At 44.6% G+C, this 19,695-nt stretch overlaps 1 protein-coding gene across 31 annotated transcripts in view; it reads left to right on the forward strand.

Moving 5' to 3' along the window:
• The window catches only part of NCAM1 (neural cell adhesion molecule 1), a 317,017-nt gene that overhangs the window by 280,915 nt on the left and 16,407 nt on the right, over nucleotides 1-19,695 (forward strand). For 20 of the 31 annotated variants that reach the window (NM_001400616.1, NM_001400615.1, NM_001400624.1 and 17 more), the window contains 2 exons: nucleotides 13,543-13,667; nucleotides 17,812-17,989. In NM_001400616.1, the coding sequence (NP_001387545.1) occupies nucleotides 13,543-13,667; nucleotides 17,812-17,989 (303 nt within the window). Of the gene's footprint in view, nucleotides 1-470; nucleotides 513-4,033; nucleotides 4,037-13,542; nucleotides 13,668-17,811; nucleotides 17,990-19,695 lie in introns of all 31 variants that reach the window. The other 11 variants (NM_001400621.1, NM_001400623.1, NM_001400612.1 and 8 more) reach the window with 3 other exon arrangements.

A 19,695-nucleotide genomic window follows, 5' to 3' on the forward strand; every position in this document is an offset into this window, starting at 1 on the left:
TAAGGCCCAGCATGGTGGCTCAGGCCTGTAATCCCAGCACTTTGAGAGGGCCAGGCGGGTGGATTGCTTGAGGCCAGGAGTTCAAGACCGGTCTGGGCAACCTTGTCTCTACTAAAAATACAAAAATTAGCCAGGCGTGGTGGCATGTGCCTGTAATCCCAGTTACTTGGGAGGCTGAGGCAGGAGAATTGTTTGAACCCAGGAGATGGAGGTTGTAATGAGACAAGATCGCACCATTGCACTCTAGCCTGAGTGACAGAGCAAGACTCCATCTCAAAATAATAAATAATATGTATATTAATATTGATAGAGAAGAGAGAGAATACCTCCTTCACCATCTTTATAATGATGCCTACATATGTATAATATATACTCACCCATGTATGTATACATATATAGCTATGAGTTTAATTTATCTCCATTCTCTCCTTCACCTTTCTTTGCCTTTTCTGTCTGTCGTGTTTCCATAGCAACTTGGCCTCTTCCTGCCCTTGCAACCACAGAACCAGCTAGTGAGTACAGGGCTGAGTTGCTCTCGGCCAGACCTCTGATCGCTTGTTGTAGAGCCGACTTCTAGATTACAGCGCTGCCTGTTGTTTTCCCTTTTATTAAAAGCAACAGTTGTGAATGCATGAAGGCTCCTAGCCTGGTGTGGTTTCCTAAGCATGCCGTCTGCTTGGCCAAGAGAGCAAACCAAGCATCAGCAAAAGAACGGGGTTGATTATTGGAAGAATACTCCGTGCATGAGGAGGCTTTTCCAAATCGACTCTCTAGTTAAAAATAGCCAAGGATTAGGCAAACCCTGAGGACACAAAAGAACAGCATCTCCTTCCCGGCTTTCGCTTTGCTGTCCCTCCTTCTGAAATACACACGCTCATGCGCGTGTTAATTTAGCAGTAGCAAAAAGACTGAGAGCGAGGGAAGGAATAGGAGAAAATGGCTGCTTGAGGAAAGGGAGAGGGTGATGCCGAGAAGGAAGGAGCCGCTGCTTCCTGACAGCATGCCCGGCTTTGTCTCCGCGTACGCAGAGCACAGGGGAAGGAGAGAGCTCCTTCCTGCTGTCTCCTTTCAGGCTCCCGCCTCAGTGCTAGAAAAATGATGGGCAGAAAAAGCCTAATCCAGGCTCCCCTTGGGTTGAGAGTCCAGATGAAAGTGCTGGAATTTATCTCTTGACAATAGAGTCAAGAGCCAGATTGTATCCTCTTTTTTCATCGTAGAAAACATTGCACAGAATCACTGCTGTAACATGTTCCAAGCTGGTCTTCATAATGCTCTAATGAAGTAAGATGTGTGTGGAGGACCTGAATCTCCTGAAGAATCCATATGAGTATGCGTGCATGTTCATAGTGTTCAAGCATCAAAGCTGTGTGGGAGTTTTAGATTTTATAATATTTCTGCTTGCACAGAAAAAAAATGGCATACATCCCATCAAGCAGAACAAGAAGGCAGAAAGCAGGTATGCAAAGTATAACTCCAGCTCCCCGGGCCAAGCTTTCCAATACATAATTGAACAGAGAAGAAAAGAGTTTCCTGGTTCTGTGTGTTGCATGAAATGGTTCTTTTTTTTCTACTGCAGAACACAGCTAAGGGTCTGCTTTCTTGGTGTTCCCTCCGTGTGTGTGCTGCGATGAATTTTAATTCCTGATGCTTTTGAGGTTTCATTTTGTCAGCAGAGCAGAGCCGGTGACAACAGGCTGTGCTCGCATGGGTTTAATTCAGATTATGAGGGGTTTTTTTTTACATTTGGAAAAGGAATGCAGCTGACAGCCCCTTTTCTTATTCTACAGTGTCACTCCTGTCCTTTTTCAACCTGGTGCAATGTGTGTCCAGGCACAGTAGGAGAAAGCTACATAATGTATTTGTACAACTGTGTCATATTTCAGGTGGCTCACTGTAGGTTGGTCTTCTCTGTTAGTGAAACACAATCTTGGTTCCAGATTTTGCCTGAAGAAGGAATTAGGTGTCTCTCCCCTGACATGTCTTTAATTTTTAAACATCAGACATTTCTGCCCACAGACAAAATGCTTAGTTGTGACATCCAAAGGGAAGAAAGTTTGAGTCATTTTATTTTGAACCACTTGACTACTGACCCAAATTGTAGGTCCCAGTGGATACTGAGATAAAGGAAAGATGCTCACAATTGGGCAGCAGCCTGAGTTTAGCATGAACATATTTCTCACTAGTAAGATGAAATGTGGCACATGTGAATTGCAGTGGAACTAATAGCAGAGTAGCTATCAGCATGTGAATATCCATCGATCATCAATCCATCAGTGGGGTTGAAAATACATATCTCCCAGTTTTGCTTCTGTGTGTGTGCGTGTGTGTGTGTGTGTGTGTGTGTGTGTGTGTGGACCCATTTATAATTATGAGGGAATAAAGGTATTCTAAATAAAACCAAAGGAGCAATTGCTTAGTTGTATATAATCCCTGCAAGGCCCCTTTGGTAGGAAGGTGCCTGAATCTGTGTAATGCCAGACAATAAGAAAGAAGCACACATTCTGTCAGCTCACGGTGGCAAGGGAAGAGGTAGCCTGGTTAAAGCATTTCTCTCAGGTTATTTTTAACCAGCGGTGTTCTTTACACAGAAAGGTGTCTTCATCTCCCTTCTTTGCCCTTCTCCCTCAGCCTCAATTGGCAATGGCCAAAACTTTCCCTGGCCTCTTAAATTTAAGGTCAGAAACCCAAAATACCTTTTAACAAGTCGAGATCACTCAGTCACAACATAGGACCAAAAGGAATGCTTAAGAAAAGTGTTTTTTTTTTTTCATTGTAAATCTCAAATTTATGACTTATCAGTGCAACCACGATTCTAAAGATATAACTTTAACCACAACAGGTTGGGTGCCGTGGCTCAAGCCTATAATCCCAGCACTTTGGGAGGCTGAGGTGGAAGGATCACTTGAGCCCAGCGGGGCCAACAGGGCGAAACCCCCATCTCTACAAAAAATAGAAAAATTAGCTGGGTATAGTAGCAGACGCCTGCAGTCCCAGCCATTCAGGAGGCTGAGGCAGAAAGATTGCTTGAGCCCGGGAGGTCAAGGCTGGAGTGAGCTATCTTCATGCCACTGCACTGCAGCCTGGGTGATGAAACGAGACCGTTTCAAAACAAAAAACTTTAACCACAAATGGCCCAAACATTTGCTTAATGTCAAACTCTCAGCACGTTGGGCCAAAGGTACAGTTTCTGCTGTTTAGTGTCAACACAGCCATTGTCTCAACCATCAGAAGGAAACCCATTCCCTAGTCTGCACTGGCCTCTTCCTTTATATGGGTCTTGACTTCAGGGAGGCTCACCGAGGTCTCAGGAATAACATGGGTTTGTGGAGAAAGAAGTGAGATAAGATCCTCAAAGCCACCATCTCTGGCATGCATCCACCCAGCCTCATTCAGCCCATACTCCCCTCCTCCTTATGCCATAGGAAACATGAAATGACTCTTCTTAATTTAATACAATCTTTTGTTCTTCTAGGGCACACAGTCTTCACCTTAAGACTCTCGGGACTTTTCCTTGATGACCCATATTCTGTTTCATTGCCCTTGTTTCCCAAGGATGCTGAGACATTTCTGGAATCTGTGGATAATAACTTGCTTTTTTCTTTTCCTTTAACAGTCTCCTGGATTGACTTTGACATCTGGGTCCTGACAGCAACACCTCCCCATTTCAAAACAAGTTTACATGCTCCTGATGTGGTATTAATATGTAGTGTTGCAGCCGTAGCTAATGCTTATTGGTGTTGTTAACCAAATGCTCTTTATGATTTATTATTCTTCTATTTCTGGGCAGTTTCACTGCCCTCCCAATGTTTCCTATATATGCTGCTAATTTAATTTGATTTCTCCTTTTATTTAGTCTGTGATTTTGTTGTTGATTTTTCTCCCTGCCCATTGTTTACATCAGTTTTTAATTTTTTTGTATTTTCCATGTGACCTCCTCCACTTTCCTTTCAACCAATATCATGTGCGTGCGTATCATGTGACTTTGTCATGTGGCTTGCATGGTGCTGATGATGTCGTCCACGCTGGTGAACAGAAGGTAAAACTCTTTGTTCTGATTAGTGAAATAAATCTGGGACCACAGCCTGGCACATAGGGCACACTCATTTCTTCCTGTCTCAGATTTCCTAAGCAAAGCCATTTGAGAGATTTCCTCTTGTTCTCAATTCACATCCAGAATTCATCATTCCTTGCAAACTTGACATGACGATTTGGTATCATGACAACCTTTGGTTTGGTATTTTGCTTCAAGAAATTTGGTCACACAAACTGTTCTCTACAGTCAACCCACATTAGCCACAGCACAGTTTGCAAACTTGAATTTTTACCAGATGGTTCATAAAAATTATTTCCTAGAAAGGTGTTTGGCAAATTAGCTTGATAGCATTGTTATTTAACTTCATCCAGTAGTTCTAAACACCATAGTTGTTCTAAAATGAGTCACATTCCTGTGAAAATGTTTACAACCTTGAAATGCTACAGAGTGAAATATATCAATTGCAAAGGTTGTATTTGTTCAAAACCCAGTGAGAGTGCTTCATAAAATTCATGCACATTGAGGACTTTCTGAAATAAGAGATTTAAGAATTTGGATTAGAGCAGTTTGGCTGTGATTACTGAGGTGTCACTTTTTAAGAGTGGCCCTCCCCCAGGGAGGGGGAGAAAATCAAAGCAAAAGTCACTTGGCAATTACCATGAATGGAGATCTCCGTGTAATCAAGAAACACATGATTGACCCTTGCAGCAAAGGAAATAAAATTATAGCCTAATTAAGTGCATAGCGGTGACAAAATAATTAGTTAATATTGTGACTGTCACAACCTTGTTAAAACATTTCTCGCTTACCAGAAGGAGAGAAGGAAGCCTCTGCTCACAGCTTCCCTCACTCAAATCAAACACCTATTCAGAACCTGCCCTTTGAGTCATATGCATTCAGTTTTCTCCTAACTGGAATGTTTTGCTTCCAATCACAGCCTGAGACATTGGCTACATGGATCACGAAAGCAAAACTAACTCCAATAACCCCCTGGTGTGCCCGTGCATGCAAGGGGTCCCTGTTTGACCTCACTTCTCTGAGAACTGATTGGGCGACATCCACACAGACAAACCGTCAACAGCTGGTCTCGCATGTCCTTTGTTCCCGGTCTGCTCTTGTGTTTCGTTCTCCTCCTGTGTGTTAGCCCTGTGTACCTTCCCTCTCGTTCACCCTCCACATTTCCCATCTCTGAGCCCCTCAGCTTTATAGGGATGTCAGCTTGGCCCCAATGTAGTCCCATTTACAGCCAGACTCCTGGACTTGCCTATGAGCCATCTTCATTTCCAAAAAGGCGATATTGGGTATGTACATTGCATGAAATAAAGTGGGAATGTCCCAGAAGCAGAAGGACATCTGATGCAGTCCACGCCAATAAATTGGGCTTACCTTTAAAAATCATCTGAATATGCAGGTCTTAGGGCAGAGAATATAGACAGCTTAAGATTTTCTAAACTACAAGTCCCACCCAAAATACGGTATTTTCATGATTTCCCAAAGGTTGACCATCAGCAAGACTGGATATTTTTCAGACTTAAGATGACTGTTCAGTAGCTGATGTTCTGGAAAAAGATCTGGGCCTTCACCATGAAATCTTAAATGTGAGCAGTTACTGGATGTTGAATTTGAAACCTATTCATTTCTTTTTTTAAAACAAGCTTGGTCATTTCTGTGCAATGCTATAATTCGGAACGAAACAAAGCACAATGTTAATAAGGTAGACACTAATTCATTCCTCTGAAGAGAGATCTCTTCCAGACATTTTAAGCCAGGGCAAGAAATGTTTAAAGATGTTTTCTGCAGTTGCCGTAGAAACACTCCTTAGCAGTCATCTTGGCTGTTGGTAAAAAATGTGGCCGGTACCAAAAAAAAAAAAAAAAAATCGCTGACAGCCTTAGAGAATTACAAAGCTATGATTACGCCCTCCTGGAACCATGTCCTCATCCATGACAGACCCTCTCCTGCCATCTGCAAGGGGGCAAGCTGAAGACTTATTCAGGTGAGCCCCGCACGCAGCAGGAATTGTCCTTTAACAATAAAATTTAAGAGAATGAAGAGGTCAGGGCCAATAAAATCCATGGAGGAGAGCAACAAAGCTTAGTTAAGGACAGTTATCACCTCCTCTCCCTGGGTATTAGCAAAGATTTAAGCTGAATTGGGCCTCAATGAGAAAAGTGAGAGTAAGCTGGGGGGTGAGGGGGGAGCTTTCTGCTGTCAGTGGGTTGTACACCCAACAACTGGTGACATCTGATGTTCCCTGTCCACCTTGTACCCCCTCAAAAAAAGAAAACTGCCTGGGATATGCATAACCTAAGCTGGATGCTCCATCTACCCTGAGTTCAGTGGGACAGCGTTTACAGAATCCAGCAGCACTGCGTGAAGTGTGGCGACTCAGAAGGAGAAGGGAGGTTATAACAGGGATTGAGCCCTATCCTTTATGGTTACTTGGCTCCTGAGCCTACAGGGCTTGGCCTGTAGAGGATTGTGACAGATAAGCTTAGACACCTGTCCCAGAAAAGAAGAAGTGAGGATGCAAACTTTGATTCTAAGGTCATGGCATCATGTCACTGCAGGGCTTCCTCCAATGACTCCACGGAGCCGTGGCTTTGTCCACCAGCTACTGAGGACTCTGTGTAAATGGGACTCCCCACCAGCAGCATGTGTGAGATGAGAAGCCCCCTGCACCCCTCTGTCCATGTGCTGCATGTCTGAGCATGGCGCCCTCCCCAGCCATTCATAATGATATTTTTTTTCTTTAGCTACTGACACTGACTCGTACTAGGAAACGCTGATTCTGATGAGCTAAGCTCTTTAACACCCACTCTTCCTTCTTAGATTGAAAACATCACTAACCACCCCTTCCACTCCCTCCTTTATTTTTTCACAGCTGTGTGTCTGGATTGCCACGATCTCTGGCAGGTCGACACAGACTTTTCACCAGGGTTTCTGCTCTAATTGCCTTTATCTCTAAGGATTCCCTGCACTGGAGGTTCCTAGGGTAGAGAGTCAGTGGGAAGGGGCTGAAGAAAAAGGCAGTGAGGTGTGTCAGCCCGAATCCTGTGGGCAGGGACTGTGGGCAGGGACTGTGGGCTGCTGCTGGCCTTGGAAACTGCCAGTTCCCTTAGGGTCACCAGTATGGGGGCTGAAACTCCCCAGGAGCCACATTCTTCTTCATAACCAATCTAATGTCCATGAAATAGAGTTGAAGATGGGCACGAGCCCCCTTGTGGCCTTGGAGGCAGGAGCCGAGTTAACTGTTGATGATAGCAGTTATTTCTGTCATAACTTCCTCAGCCTGGATCAGCCCCATAACCACAAGCCATACCTTCCTGGTCATATTTTCTTTTTAGGATGATGAAACAAAGATAATTGATCAATTAATCTGTTGGTGTTTTCATGACACCTGCGAGAAGGGAACTGGTATTTTTGTGGTTCAGTCTGTCAGAGCTCGTTGGTTGCTGTTTAATTTGTACCTTGTGCTGCCATTTGCCACCGTACCCCAACACATACTCTCACATTCATAAATTCCTCAGGAAACTGGTGCTGGAAAGGATTTACAGACCAGATGCCTTAGTGAGTGTGGCTGCGGGGAGCTCAGCATCCTTGCTCTGCAAGCTGGGAACCGGCCGTGCCCACACTCACTCATTGTGTATCCCGAGGCTCCCTGGAGCTAGGAACTAGGATGGCAAAGATTCTGGTCACTCAGGCACAAGCAAGGCCTTAAAGCTGAAGAGAAAAGGGTTCAGGGAAAAACAAACAAAACTTTACCCCAAAAGCTTGATCCAGCAGGAACAATGCCTAAGACAAATTAATACCCACTCTTACACTGCCCGGCTGTTCTTCGGGACTGTCCGAAAGTCACTCGGCATCCCTAGAATAGCCAGGTAGGTTACCAAAAGAGGCGCCAGGGAGAGACATGAGGATCCAAGAATGTATGCAACATAGATCACATCCGATTCTTTTGTTTGTCGTCGAGGGCTAAGCGCTTTGTTTCAGGAAAGAGAATCAGTGGTCTAATAACGCTAAATCCTGATTCCCTCAGATAATTTGCTGATCCCCTAAGGACCAGCCACATTTCTAACCTCTGGATGTAATTGTAATGTTTCTGACTTGGAAAAAGTAAATAGGCTTCATATTTGAATAGCTAAATCATACATTTTGGACTTTTCAAAAACTAAGTGTAAAAAGGTATATATAACACAAGTTTCAAATTGCTTGGAAGAAATAATCAACCAAAGGAGACAGGAGTTATGATAAACAAAATGAACAGTATTTTTAAAACTAGACAGTCTTATTTGATAGGAAAAGTAAAAGATTGTAATGCAAGCCCCACATTTATCACAGGTTTACGCTCAGACACCTGAAACTTTGTGCAGATCTCTATGAGGGAGAAAACAAAGTAGATGAATAGAGAACACAGATGGAGGGCTTTTTGTTTTGTTTTGTTTCTTTTGAGGCTGAGTCTCGCTGTCACCCAGGCTGGAGTGCAGTGGTGCGATCTCTGCTCACTGCAACCTCCACCTCCCATGCTCAAGCAATTCTCCTGCCTCAGCCTCCTGCGTAGCTGGGATTACAGACGCATGCCACCATGCCCAGATAATTTTTTTTATTTTTTTAGTAGAGATGGGGTTTCACCATGTAGGCCAGGCTGGTCTTGAACTCCTGACCTCAGGTGATCCACCCACCTCAGCCTCCCAAAGTGCTGGGATTACAGGCGTGAGCCATTGTGCCCAGCCCCAGATAGAGGCTTTCTTGAGGATGCCTGTTTGGCACCCCAGCCTTTCATTCAGAAGACACAGCTAACTCTTGGTGCTCGGGCTCCTTTGAGTGAGAAATAGAATATTGTTTTCCTGCTAAAATTCACCAATGCTGTCCAAGTACCCTGGATTTGCTATAATTTTTGTTGTGGAATTCAGATATCCAGTGGAGTTTTCTAACTCCTGGGGCTTCTGCTGATGAGAGGAAGGGCATGAAGCTGATTCAGATTTAAGGGTACAGTAGCAGAGTAATTACAAACAGAGAACCTGCAATCGGCATGGCCAGAAATATACATTTCAATTATGGTTTCTAAGGGAGAATTTCATAGGACCTGCCTATGATATATCTGACTATATGTGGCCTCTATGGTACGTTCTTTCTTTCTTGGGTTCATGATTCACATCCTGCTAGAAAATACCAGAACTGCACAATACTTTATATTTGTTATTGGCAAAGTTTCTTTTTAATGTTCCGTTGGTGTAGTCTTTACATAATACATTTTGGGGGGAACATTTGACTCATGGCTAAAGCGAAACTCCAAGGGTATAATTAACCCCAGGGGTCTTCTGGGAGCAACCTGCCGATTGCTGCTGAATCGCAAACCAACATTTACAAATAATTACAATAATGGTTTTACTGAACTTACTCATAATGATTTCAATCAGGGCAGCCATCTCAGAACACAGTGCACATCAGGACTCTCTCAGGCATTTCTTCTGCTAATGTGCTCGATAAAGCAGTCAGCCTCCTGAATGGCAAGGTCCCTTTTCTCCCACCACAGCCCCTCCCTCATCAGGCTTTGTGTAGAAAGCCTAAGAAAGTTTCTCTAACCCCATTTCTAATCTTTAAGAGAATTTGCTGACAGTGAACACTGGAAGATAAGACACTTGATGAAACAATTGCTCTTTCCATATTTTCATGTACTCACAGCAAGTTACAGAGCCACCAAGTCGGTCAAAATCTCTGTGATATTAGTTGAATATGAGCTTCCTGTAGAAATACTGTCATAGGCTGGGTGCAGGGGCTCACACCTGTAATCCCAGTACTTTGGGAGGCCAAGGTGAGAGGATAGCTTGAGCCTAGAAGTTCAAGACCAGCCTCAGTAACACAGTGAGACCCCATCTCTACAAAAAATTAGCCGAGTGTGGTGGCATGTGCCTGTGGTCCTAGCTACTCCGGAGGCTGTGGTGAGTGAATCGCTTGAGTCATGGAGATTAAGACTGCAGTGAGCTATGATTGTGCCACTGCACTTCAGCTTGGGTGACAGAGCAAGACCCTGTCTCAAAAAAAAAAAAAAAAAAAGTCATAGGAAGCATTATGTATCCGTCCAAGAACCTCATCATCTTTTAAAAGAATTAATCATAACTTAGTTTTTTCATTTGGCAAACAAAATGGTGTCTTATTTACCTTTGAGACTTCAGTGCCTAATAGACTACCTGGGACCTAGTAGATACTCAGTACACATCTGTTGAATAAATCGTAGGTAAAGCACTCTAAATAATAAACCTAAATATTATTTCATTTTATTTTTGAGACAAGGTCTCACTCTGTCACCCAGGCTGGAGTGCAGTGGCATGATCTTGGCTCACTGCAACCTCTGCCTCCGGGGTTCAAGTGGTTCTCGTGCCTCAGCCTCTTCAGTAGCTGGGATTACAGGCACATGCCACTATGCCCAGCTTTTTTTTTTTTTTTTTTTTTTTTTTTTTTTGGTAGAGACAGAGTTTCACTATGTTGGCCAGGCTGGTCACAAAATCCTAACCACAAGTGATCCACCTGCCTCAGCCTCCCGAAGTCCTAGGGTTACAGGTGTGAGCCACTGTGACCAGCCAATATTATTATTTAATATAAAATGCTCTAAATTCTAAGAGAAAATAATACACACATATCAGAGTACTGTGATAGACTCAGATAAAATGATACAAATTATAGTGTTCTAACTATGTCAAATGTGTTCTAACTATGGTATAGATTTTGATGGCTTTTCTCCGATTCAAATTACATTTTTTCTGAAACAAATCTAAAGATAAGAGAGTACTTTCATCAGGGAAGTTGGTTTCTGCAGGATTCCCTAGAGAGATTTTTATTCTTAGGTCTTTGAAGAGACTTGGGGGTCTCTTTTCAAAGACAAAACTTTTGAGATAACTTTTTCAACATTTTAAAGCAAAAAGTTGACAACTTTCTGCCTTAGAGATGTGAAATTGTTGACCTTGGAGTGCATCTCCCTAAAATTGGCTGAAAGTCGTGAATTTTGTGTTCTGTTTCCCACAATGTCATGAGAAACAGCCCAGGTGTAGTTGGTAGTCCGTGCTAGTGCAGTGGCTGTCACTGTTTCACATGACAACAGAGCTGGAAGGAGCCCTAAATAGCATCCAATTCAGGGCCCATATTTTGTAAATGTGGAATGAAACTTGATCGAGGCAACAGACCCCCCATGATGCGGAGTTCAGAGACAGTGTTTTGCAGGATTGATTCAGCCTTGAAAACTCACACAGCTCAATTTCAAGAGGAACTAATTAGGAACGTGCAGCCAGGGAGGCCCCAGTGGACTGATCCCTAAAAGGGGGCCTTGGGAGAAGGACACAGTCCTCGACTAGTGGGCATGTTGGAAGGGCCACTGATGCTGCCTATAAAAATCCCCTCCAGGCTAGGGCAGGTAGACCATTCAGCACAGAGTCAGTGTCATGATTCTAAGTGAACAAAGTTAAAATAATTTGTTCATTTGCAGTAGGTCTAGGGTCATCAACCATTCCAGTTTGCCTGGGACTGAAGGGTTTCCCAGGATGTTGAACTTGCAGTGCTAAAACCTGGAATCTTCCAGACTAACCGGGATGAGTTGGTCACCCCAATTTAATCAGAGAATACAATTTGTAAAGTTCTCCTGTGTCTCCTTCTATTTGTTCAGCATTTCTGAATCTACACAGAGCTCCTGCCTTGATCTAAAATCTATGCCACTTTGAGTCACTTTTTAGCACTGGATATCTATAATGACATAGCCATAACTGATGTATTATCTAGGACTTGGGACAGTCCGAAGGAATTTGGAAAGCCTAAATACCTTGACGTGTCTAAACCAAATTTCTACCTATTTTCCACTGAATAGTTGTGGCCTGGGGCTAGATAGTGGCTTTAAAACAGGACAGGTCTTTGCCTGAAGTCCATTCATCTTTTTATTCCTGTTTTTATTTGTCCTTAATTATTGATCTAAGAAAACAAATAATAAGCACAACTTTTCCTAAATATCCTCCAGACATTGTGCATCCTCCTTGTTGCAGCTTTTAATCTATGCCTGTTACTGCTACTTCTCTAACCTAAATGTGCACAGAGATCACTGGAAGGATCTTGTTACAGGTCTAAAAAGCGCCCAGGTGATCAGCATGCTGCTGGCCCTATGATGATAAGTAGTGGGCTCTTCCTTAGCCTTCTCTCTGGTTCCTCCTCGTATCAAAGGAAGGTGGTTCCCAGAGTAGCTGAATGAGAAGTGAGGCGTGACTCTCGCTGTGCCTGCAGCCGTCTCATAAATGGCCAATGGTGTAGTTTTAGGTGCTTAGATCCAATCCCTGGTGACAAGCCATTTTGTGGCTCTTCTGTCACACGTCTGTGATTCTGTTTTCCAGAGAGCAAGCCAGAGTGACCCACCCAGAAGGTAACTGTTTTGTAGCCTCTCCAAGTTTTCTCTCTGAGGTTATGAAATAGATGCAGAGATAGCTCCTCACAGAAGTGCAGGATTCCCCAGTGTGTTAAATCTTAATTTTAACTTTGTATATGAGACGTCCTCTCACCTTATTACTTTCAGCATATATTAATGCAATTGTTTCTTTTAAAGTAAATGAGTGCCTTACTCACTGGAGAACCATCCTAGCCCTAGCAGTTTGTCACATGCAAGTTCATCTTCCTTCTCGACCTTGGATTCACAGTGCTACAAGCTGAGTGTATACTGCAAATCAAGAAACAACTGTTTTTCTGTTGAGAAATGCTAAAGACATTTTTCTCTCTCTCCTCTCACAAAGAAAAAGACTGCACTGATTGTTACTTTAACACATTAAAGTCTTGAGAATTAGCACTCACTCATTTGAACCATTAGTGGATACTTACAGGAAACTTGCATAAGAGCCATAAGGATACTTACAAAAAACTTGCCTGGGGCAAGTTGTGATTTATTTAATCACAACCGGAAACTTCTTATTTTTTAAACGAATCTAAGTAATAAAATGTCGTTCATGAAAAGCCAGTCCCAAGAATGCAGCATTATTTACTCCCACTAGAGATCAGGCCTCCCAGTCCCAGGGGTGAGTGATGTGTCCCGGCAAGAAACTGGGCTGTTTTACAAAATAATTTTATAGGTGGGAGTTTCCTACTCAAACACTTCTATTTTCTCCTATTTCAGGCTGTTCCTCAAGATGTGTCAGGCTTATAAAAATTAAATCTTCAGTTGTAAGACCAGCTAAAAGGAAACATAAGTACCAGTGAGACAGGGGAAAAAAAAAAAAAAAAAAAAGCCTATTCCTAAAATGGTGAAAGGACCCTGCTCACAGGAAGGCTATTTACCAGAACATTCCCAAGAGGCACTCTCAGTTTGGGCTCAGTCTGAGGCATCTACCTGGAATTCAGTTTTATATTTATTGCTTTTTAACCATTTGAATTTCTGAGAAAGCAAGAAAAGTGTCCAGCCCCACCCTGTCACTCCATCCCATTCAGATGGGTTGGATTTTCATTCTGTGGATGAGAATTTCATGTGAATTAACTGGCTGTTTCAGGGGAACCCAGTGCACCTAAGCTCGAAGGGCAGATGGGAGAGGATGGAAACTCTATTAAAGTGAACCTGATCAAGCAGGATGACGGCGGCTCCCCCATCAGACACTATCTGGTCAGGTACCGAGCGGTGAGTGGCCTCCTTCTCAGACTTCACCAGAACCCTGCAACCCTGGCACCCAGCTTGCTAGGGAAACAACAGGGGCAGCCCACGGGGCAGGGGTGGGATGGGGTCTTATTCTGTGTCTGGCAGGTGGCCCATGGGCCCTGGCCATGGCTTAAAATCCCAAGACAGCCCTACAGCTATTAGGTCATGTTCACACTGGGTCCATTTGGAAACCTCATAGATGACTGTGGTGGTGACAAACCCATACCATGGTTGATTTTTCTGTGTCTTGAACTTTTCTACAAAGTTATTTTGCCATTATCTAGTACTTCTTGTAAATGCCATACTAATATATAAGAATCCCTACCTTGGATAACATGTGTATTGTAGGCCAGGCACCTGCACCTCACTGTGATCACATGCATTTTCTCTGCACAAGAACCCTGTACAGTAGGTCTTACCATTATCCCCTCTTTACAGATGAAGTAAGTGGGTGTACAGCAGTCAATAACTGCTGGATCTCACGCAGCTGGGTGAGGCAGTTTGAATCCAAGCCTGACTGAGAGGCTGGGCTCTCCCCACTGCCCAAGGCTGCCTAAGGTCCTCAAACAATGCCAGTTCCCTCACCAGCCCTTCACTTGGCCACCTGAGCTGTCCTAATCCTGCTAACAGCAAGTTGGCTCTAAGCCACCTTCTCCTGGTTTGCTCACCACCCACTTAAGATTCCCCTCATTCCACCTTTTATCACAACCCCCACACTGAAAATCACCCTTTCCATTTTGGTTTTAGAATGACACTTGGTCATCTTCAACTATAACCAATGGCTGAGAGATTTAGAGGCCACATCTGAGCACTGAGAATAACCTCTTGCTGGGGTTTCGTAGTAGAGAAAAGAATGAACCAGGGAGCAGTTTCCTTTCTTCACATAGCCCCAAGGAAGACTTTTTCTGGGAAGCTGAGTTACTTCCTCTCTGCCTTGTGATCAGCTCCTGTGGAAGTGATAGGTCTTTAACTAGCTAGTCTTCTGGCAAGTCAGTTCAGCACAGAGCCCCGCAGGCATACTTCTCAGCTGCAGAGGCCTTGTTCCCACTTAATTTGTAAGCAGATGTGAGCTGAAATAGTAGGAAAGGCCTGTCACTGCCCTGAGGCCCAGTCCAGAGATCCCAGTGAATGAGAGGTCCCCATGGCTTCCTCACTGCCAAGTAGGGTGCAAGGATTGGGCAGGTGGCCCCCAATATACCCCTGGAAGCAGAGATGTGGTAGGCTGGGATGCCTTTCCAATGGTTATCCTGATGTGGCCCCATGGACAGAACATAGGTTTTAGAGCCAGACAGACATGGCATCCAATTCTAGCTTTACTACTTATTCTGGAAGAATAGGTCACCTAATCTTTCAGAACTTCAATTTCTCCATCTGTAAAATGGGGATAAAATAGCTTATTGAGTTGTTATAAAGATGCATTATAATATATGCAAAGAACCTGAAATGCACCTGACACTTGGAAACCTTTATAAATGGTCACTATGGTTACTGCTAAGAGGCAGGCTCAGGCTGGAACCATCTCCCGTATGACATCTCCAACCATGTCGGATGTCAGTTTGTCTGAGGAGCCACTGTGGCTGCAGCAGGCAGCTCTGCATTAGAAAGACACAGCTGGGCACAACGCTGAAATATGTTAGATTTCAACAACCGTAACCACCCTCTCTCACTTCAAAACCTCATTCATGTTTGCTAAATATTATAATTTTATATTATGAATAAGTATAATATAACATTTTCTCTAGATTCTGGTTGTCTCTTGTATAATGATGTTTGCCAAGGAAGACAGAGAAATGAAGAGGAAAGATACCGGAATTGCTTTCTTTTAAATGAAAGTGGGGCCACATAGTGATATATACACATCCTAGCTTACAGCATAGCCAGACTGGTTAGACTCTAAGGAAACTAGAATTCCCCTTCCAGCACCACTGGCATTTGCCCATGCAGCATGAGCACTGTCACATTCCTAAAGGCATCTCTTTGGCTAGTGCAAACCCTTTTGCCTGGGAGGACTGCTTTGCTGTAAGATAACTCCTCATCCAGCCTTAGCCATGGGCCTACAACAGTTACTAGACCACTGTCCAGGTGACAGTGCTATTGTGTTCTGCCCTTCCAAGGAGCAGCCTGTCATGCAATAAACATCTATCAAGACTTCTTGTGTGCCCAGCAGATATCCCAGGGCACCTGCCTTGTGAAAAGGCCAAAGATTGCAAAGAGATGGGCTGTGCAATGGTGAAACCATCTGAAGACTTCTCAGGCCTTCTTCCACAAACTGTTTGGTGAGGGAGGTGGTTACCTAATTATTGTTCTTTGTGGGCCCTTTGAGCAGCCCACTGTTGGACTTGACAGCAGAACTTAGTCCCGAGGTACCTCCATCTATTTGCTGCCGTTGTAGAGACCAGGTCACACTGCATGGAATAGAAAAACCTTATTCAGTCCAACAGATGTTTGCTGAGCTCCCTACTATAGAAGGGAAAGATCATGAGAGGAGGAGAAGACAAAGAGAGATTGATTGATGGAAACAAATACAGTTTGATAGGAGAAATACGGCCAAGTGTTTGATAGATCAGTAGGGTGACTGTAGTTCACAATTACCTATTGTATATTTCAAACTAGCTAGAAGAAAATAACTCAAATGTTTCTAGCCCAGAGAAAAATATTTAAGGTGATGGATATTTCAATTATACTGACTTGATCTTTACAAATTAAGTGAATGTATTAAATTATCACATGTACCCTGAAAATCTGTATAGCTATTTTGTATCAATTAAAACTGTTATTTTCAAGAACACAATTAAGAAAAACAAAAAAAAGGAAAGATCATAGTTTTGGGCCCAAACGAACTTAGCTCCAGCCTTGACTGCAGGTGTGATTTTACGTTAGTCACCTTACTTCTCTCTCACTTCCCCATCACTGGGTTTAGTAAGAGCCTGACAAAACCCCACAGGCATGTTGTAGGAATACAACAAGAAAATGTGTGTAAAGCTTTTGTAGTGCCTAGCTCTTAGTAAGGGCTCAACAAAAATAGTTTTCATTTTTTTTTTTTTTTTTTTGAGACGGAGTCTCGCTCTGTCGCCCAGGCTGGAGTGCAGTGGCGGGATCTCGGCTCGCTGCAAGCTCTGCCTCCCGGGTTCACGCCATTCTCCTGCCTCAGCCTCCCAAGTAGCTGGGACTACAGGCGCCCGCCACTACGCCCGGCTAATTTTTTGTATTTTTAGTAGAGACGGGGTTTCACCGTTTTAGCCGGGATGGTCTCGATCTCCTGACCTCGTGATCCGCCCGCCTCGGCCTCCCAAAGTGCTGGGATTACAGGCGTGAGCCACCGCGCCCGGCCATAGTTTTCATTTTTAACGAAACTGGAATCTACACAGTATTCACACATCAGGAAGGTGAGTCAGCCACTTTAACTTAAGCAGCATCCTGAAATATGACAAGAAATGTACTTGTTTTATTACTCTTCTAGGACATCCTTATGCATATGTCCCCAGCACCAGAGTGTAGCCTGGGAGACAGGAGTGGTGCTTGAGTCTCTGCATGCCCTGAAGGTGATGGGACCTTGACGGTGTTGGCCCAATGCCACACTGGCATCTGCTGTTGCTTGTGTTTGCCAGCATGCAAAGTTGACCTCCTGACCTGTGCAATTTTTCAGGCTGGTAAAGAATAAAGACCATGTCCCATCATTGCTTTTTTTTTTTTTTTTTTTTGGAGACAGAGTCTTGCTCTGTCACCCAGGCTGGAGTGCAGTGGCATTATCTCGGCTCACTGCAACCTCCACCTCCTGGGTTCAAGCCATTCTCTTGCCTCAGCCTCCAGAGTAGCTGGGACTACAGGTGTGTGGCACCACGCCCAGCTAATTTTTGTATTTTTAGTACAGACGGGTTTTCACTATGGTGGCCAGGCTGGTCTTGAACTCCTGACCTCAAGTGATCCACCCGCCTCGGCCTCCCAAGGTGGCTAGGATTATAGGCATGAGCCACCGCGCCCACCCCCATCATTGCTTCTTATTTTCATGATTTCATGCCAAAAGTTATTGAGTCCCGTAAGTTTTGCCTATTGTCTGGTCTTACCAGTACTTTTATCTAAAGCTTTTTTGGTCTCTTGTATCCTTCTTGCCGGTTTCTCCCAGAAGCTCTCCTCCGAGTGGAAACCAGAGATCAGGCTCCCGTCTGGCAGTGACCACGTCATGCTGAAGTCCCTGGACTGGAATGCTGAGTATGAGGTCTACGTGGTGGCTGAGAACCAGCAAGGAAAATCCAAGGCGGCTCATTTTGTGTTCAGGACCTCGGCCCAGCCCACAGCCATCCCAGGTATGGCTGCCTCTGCTTTCTGTTTGTTTCCGCTTTGAATTAATGCACAAGTGCTGCACCTCCTAATGCGCCTGAACAACCCTGACAACTTGCTTGCTTACAGCCATCCTCATGATTGGTTGCCCATGCAAAGCTTAGTTTTGCCTTGTACCTATCTGTGCAGTGGGGTGAGATGTACTGGACCCCCAGGAAGGCTTGGCCAAGCATCCTGGAGAAAAGGTCCTGTCCCATTTGGCCTTGAAGGACTGATGCCAATCAGTCCATTGGACCCCTCAGATGGGAAATGCCCCAGCTCCAGCCTAGCCTTGGAAGTTGGTTGAGTAAGGATCCTTTTTTGAGACCTTATCTGCCATCTGCCACATCATACTTGGACCACATAACTGTTTCTAAGCACTTCCTATCTGATGCTTGCTTTATGAGCACAGCCATGGTCCAAATCTCTTCTCTGTGGTGACCCTAAGAGAAGGAAGAGATGATGCCCATTTACTTACAAACCCTATCTACCAAAGGCCTCTCAATGGAAACAGATTAAATTGAACCACTTGTAATAGAACAAGTGGAGAAAATAGATGCTGGAAAGCACCATCAATGAAAGCAATCCGGTCTGCTAGAGACTGTGATGGCAGCAGTTCTCCTAGGAGATACAGATCTGTCTCCAGGGATCCAAGACCTAACCTTGCTGGTCTCCTTTTTGGCCAAATCCCTCAGAGAAGAAGGAGCTCTTCAACTGATCACTCTGCTTTTCCAGACCAGCCAAATGCCAACCCCAGGCAGGAGAGGTGGGCATAGAACATACAGCTGCAGCCTGTTGGGGGGCCCCATAGACCCTGCCATGTTCAAGTGTGGTGGGAAGACGGCCTTGGGCAGCCCCCCTCATGCCTGCCCTGTCTTCAGTGCTTGCCCGGCTCTTGGCTCGGTGGTCATGATTCCTCCTCCCAGGAGGAGACAGGCCAGAGGGCTGTGGCCTGCCTATGATGCAGGGATGTATGTGCAAAAATGGGCTAGGAGAGCAGCAACAAAACGGGATCAGTGTGTGGTTCCCAGTGGTTGTTTGTACATGGATGTGTGTGTCTGGGAGACGTGTGCTGGACCTCCAGTGAGTTGGCAGGTGAGTTTTACACTGTAGGTCAGAAGCATCAATTGGTCCACCCTGCATTGACAGGAAGGCTCCCCAGTGCTTGCTGGGGTGGGTGTTTCTCCACAGTCGCTGGTCAGATGGTCGGTGCAGAAGGCAAGGCACGTGGGCAAGGCTGCAGGAAATGTCCTCATTATACCTTAACAGGATGTTCAAATGGAGGTTCTCCTTGCTTTTCCTCTGCCCCTTCTTTCTCTCCATTCTTTGGTCCATTCCTTTACAATCGACAGCTTGGAGTGAATGTCCAGATCTGTCTGGCCTTCATGGGACACTTAGGAGGTGAGATCAGGTGAGGCTTGAGTAAGCCCTTTGCAGCAAGACAGATTCCTTATGGCAATTGCTCCCTGGGGTGAGACTCACTGGGTAGGCTGTTTGGACCTGCTGTGTTCACATGCTGGGTACTCCTAGCAGCACTGGCTTCTGTGGTTTTTGTGTCAGAGACCGAAATTCTGGGTAGACCTTGTCCTCCAGAGTTGTGCCTGCTGGAGATATCAGAATCCTTCTTGTGAATCGCCCAGGTGCCCACTTAAGCCAGAGAGGGCTGGGGGATTGCTCACCTCACCGGTGACGG

Source organism: Homo sapiens, chromosome 11 (assembly GCF_000001405.40).
Source record: "Homo sapiens chromosome 11, GRCh38.p14 Primary Assembly".
Classification (NCBI taxonomy): domain Eukaryota; kingdom Metazoa; phylum Chordata; class Mammalia; order Primates; family Hominidae; genus Homo; species Homo sapiens.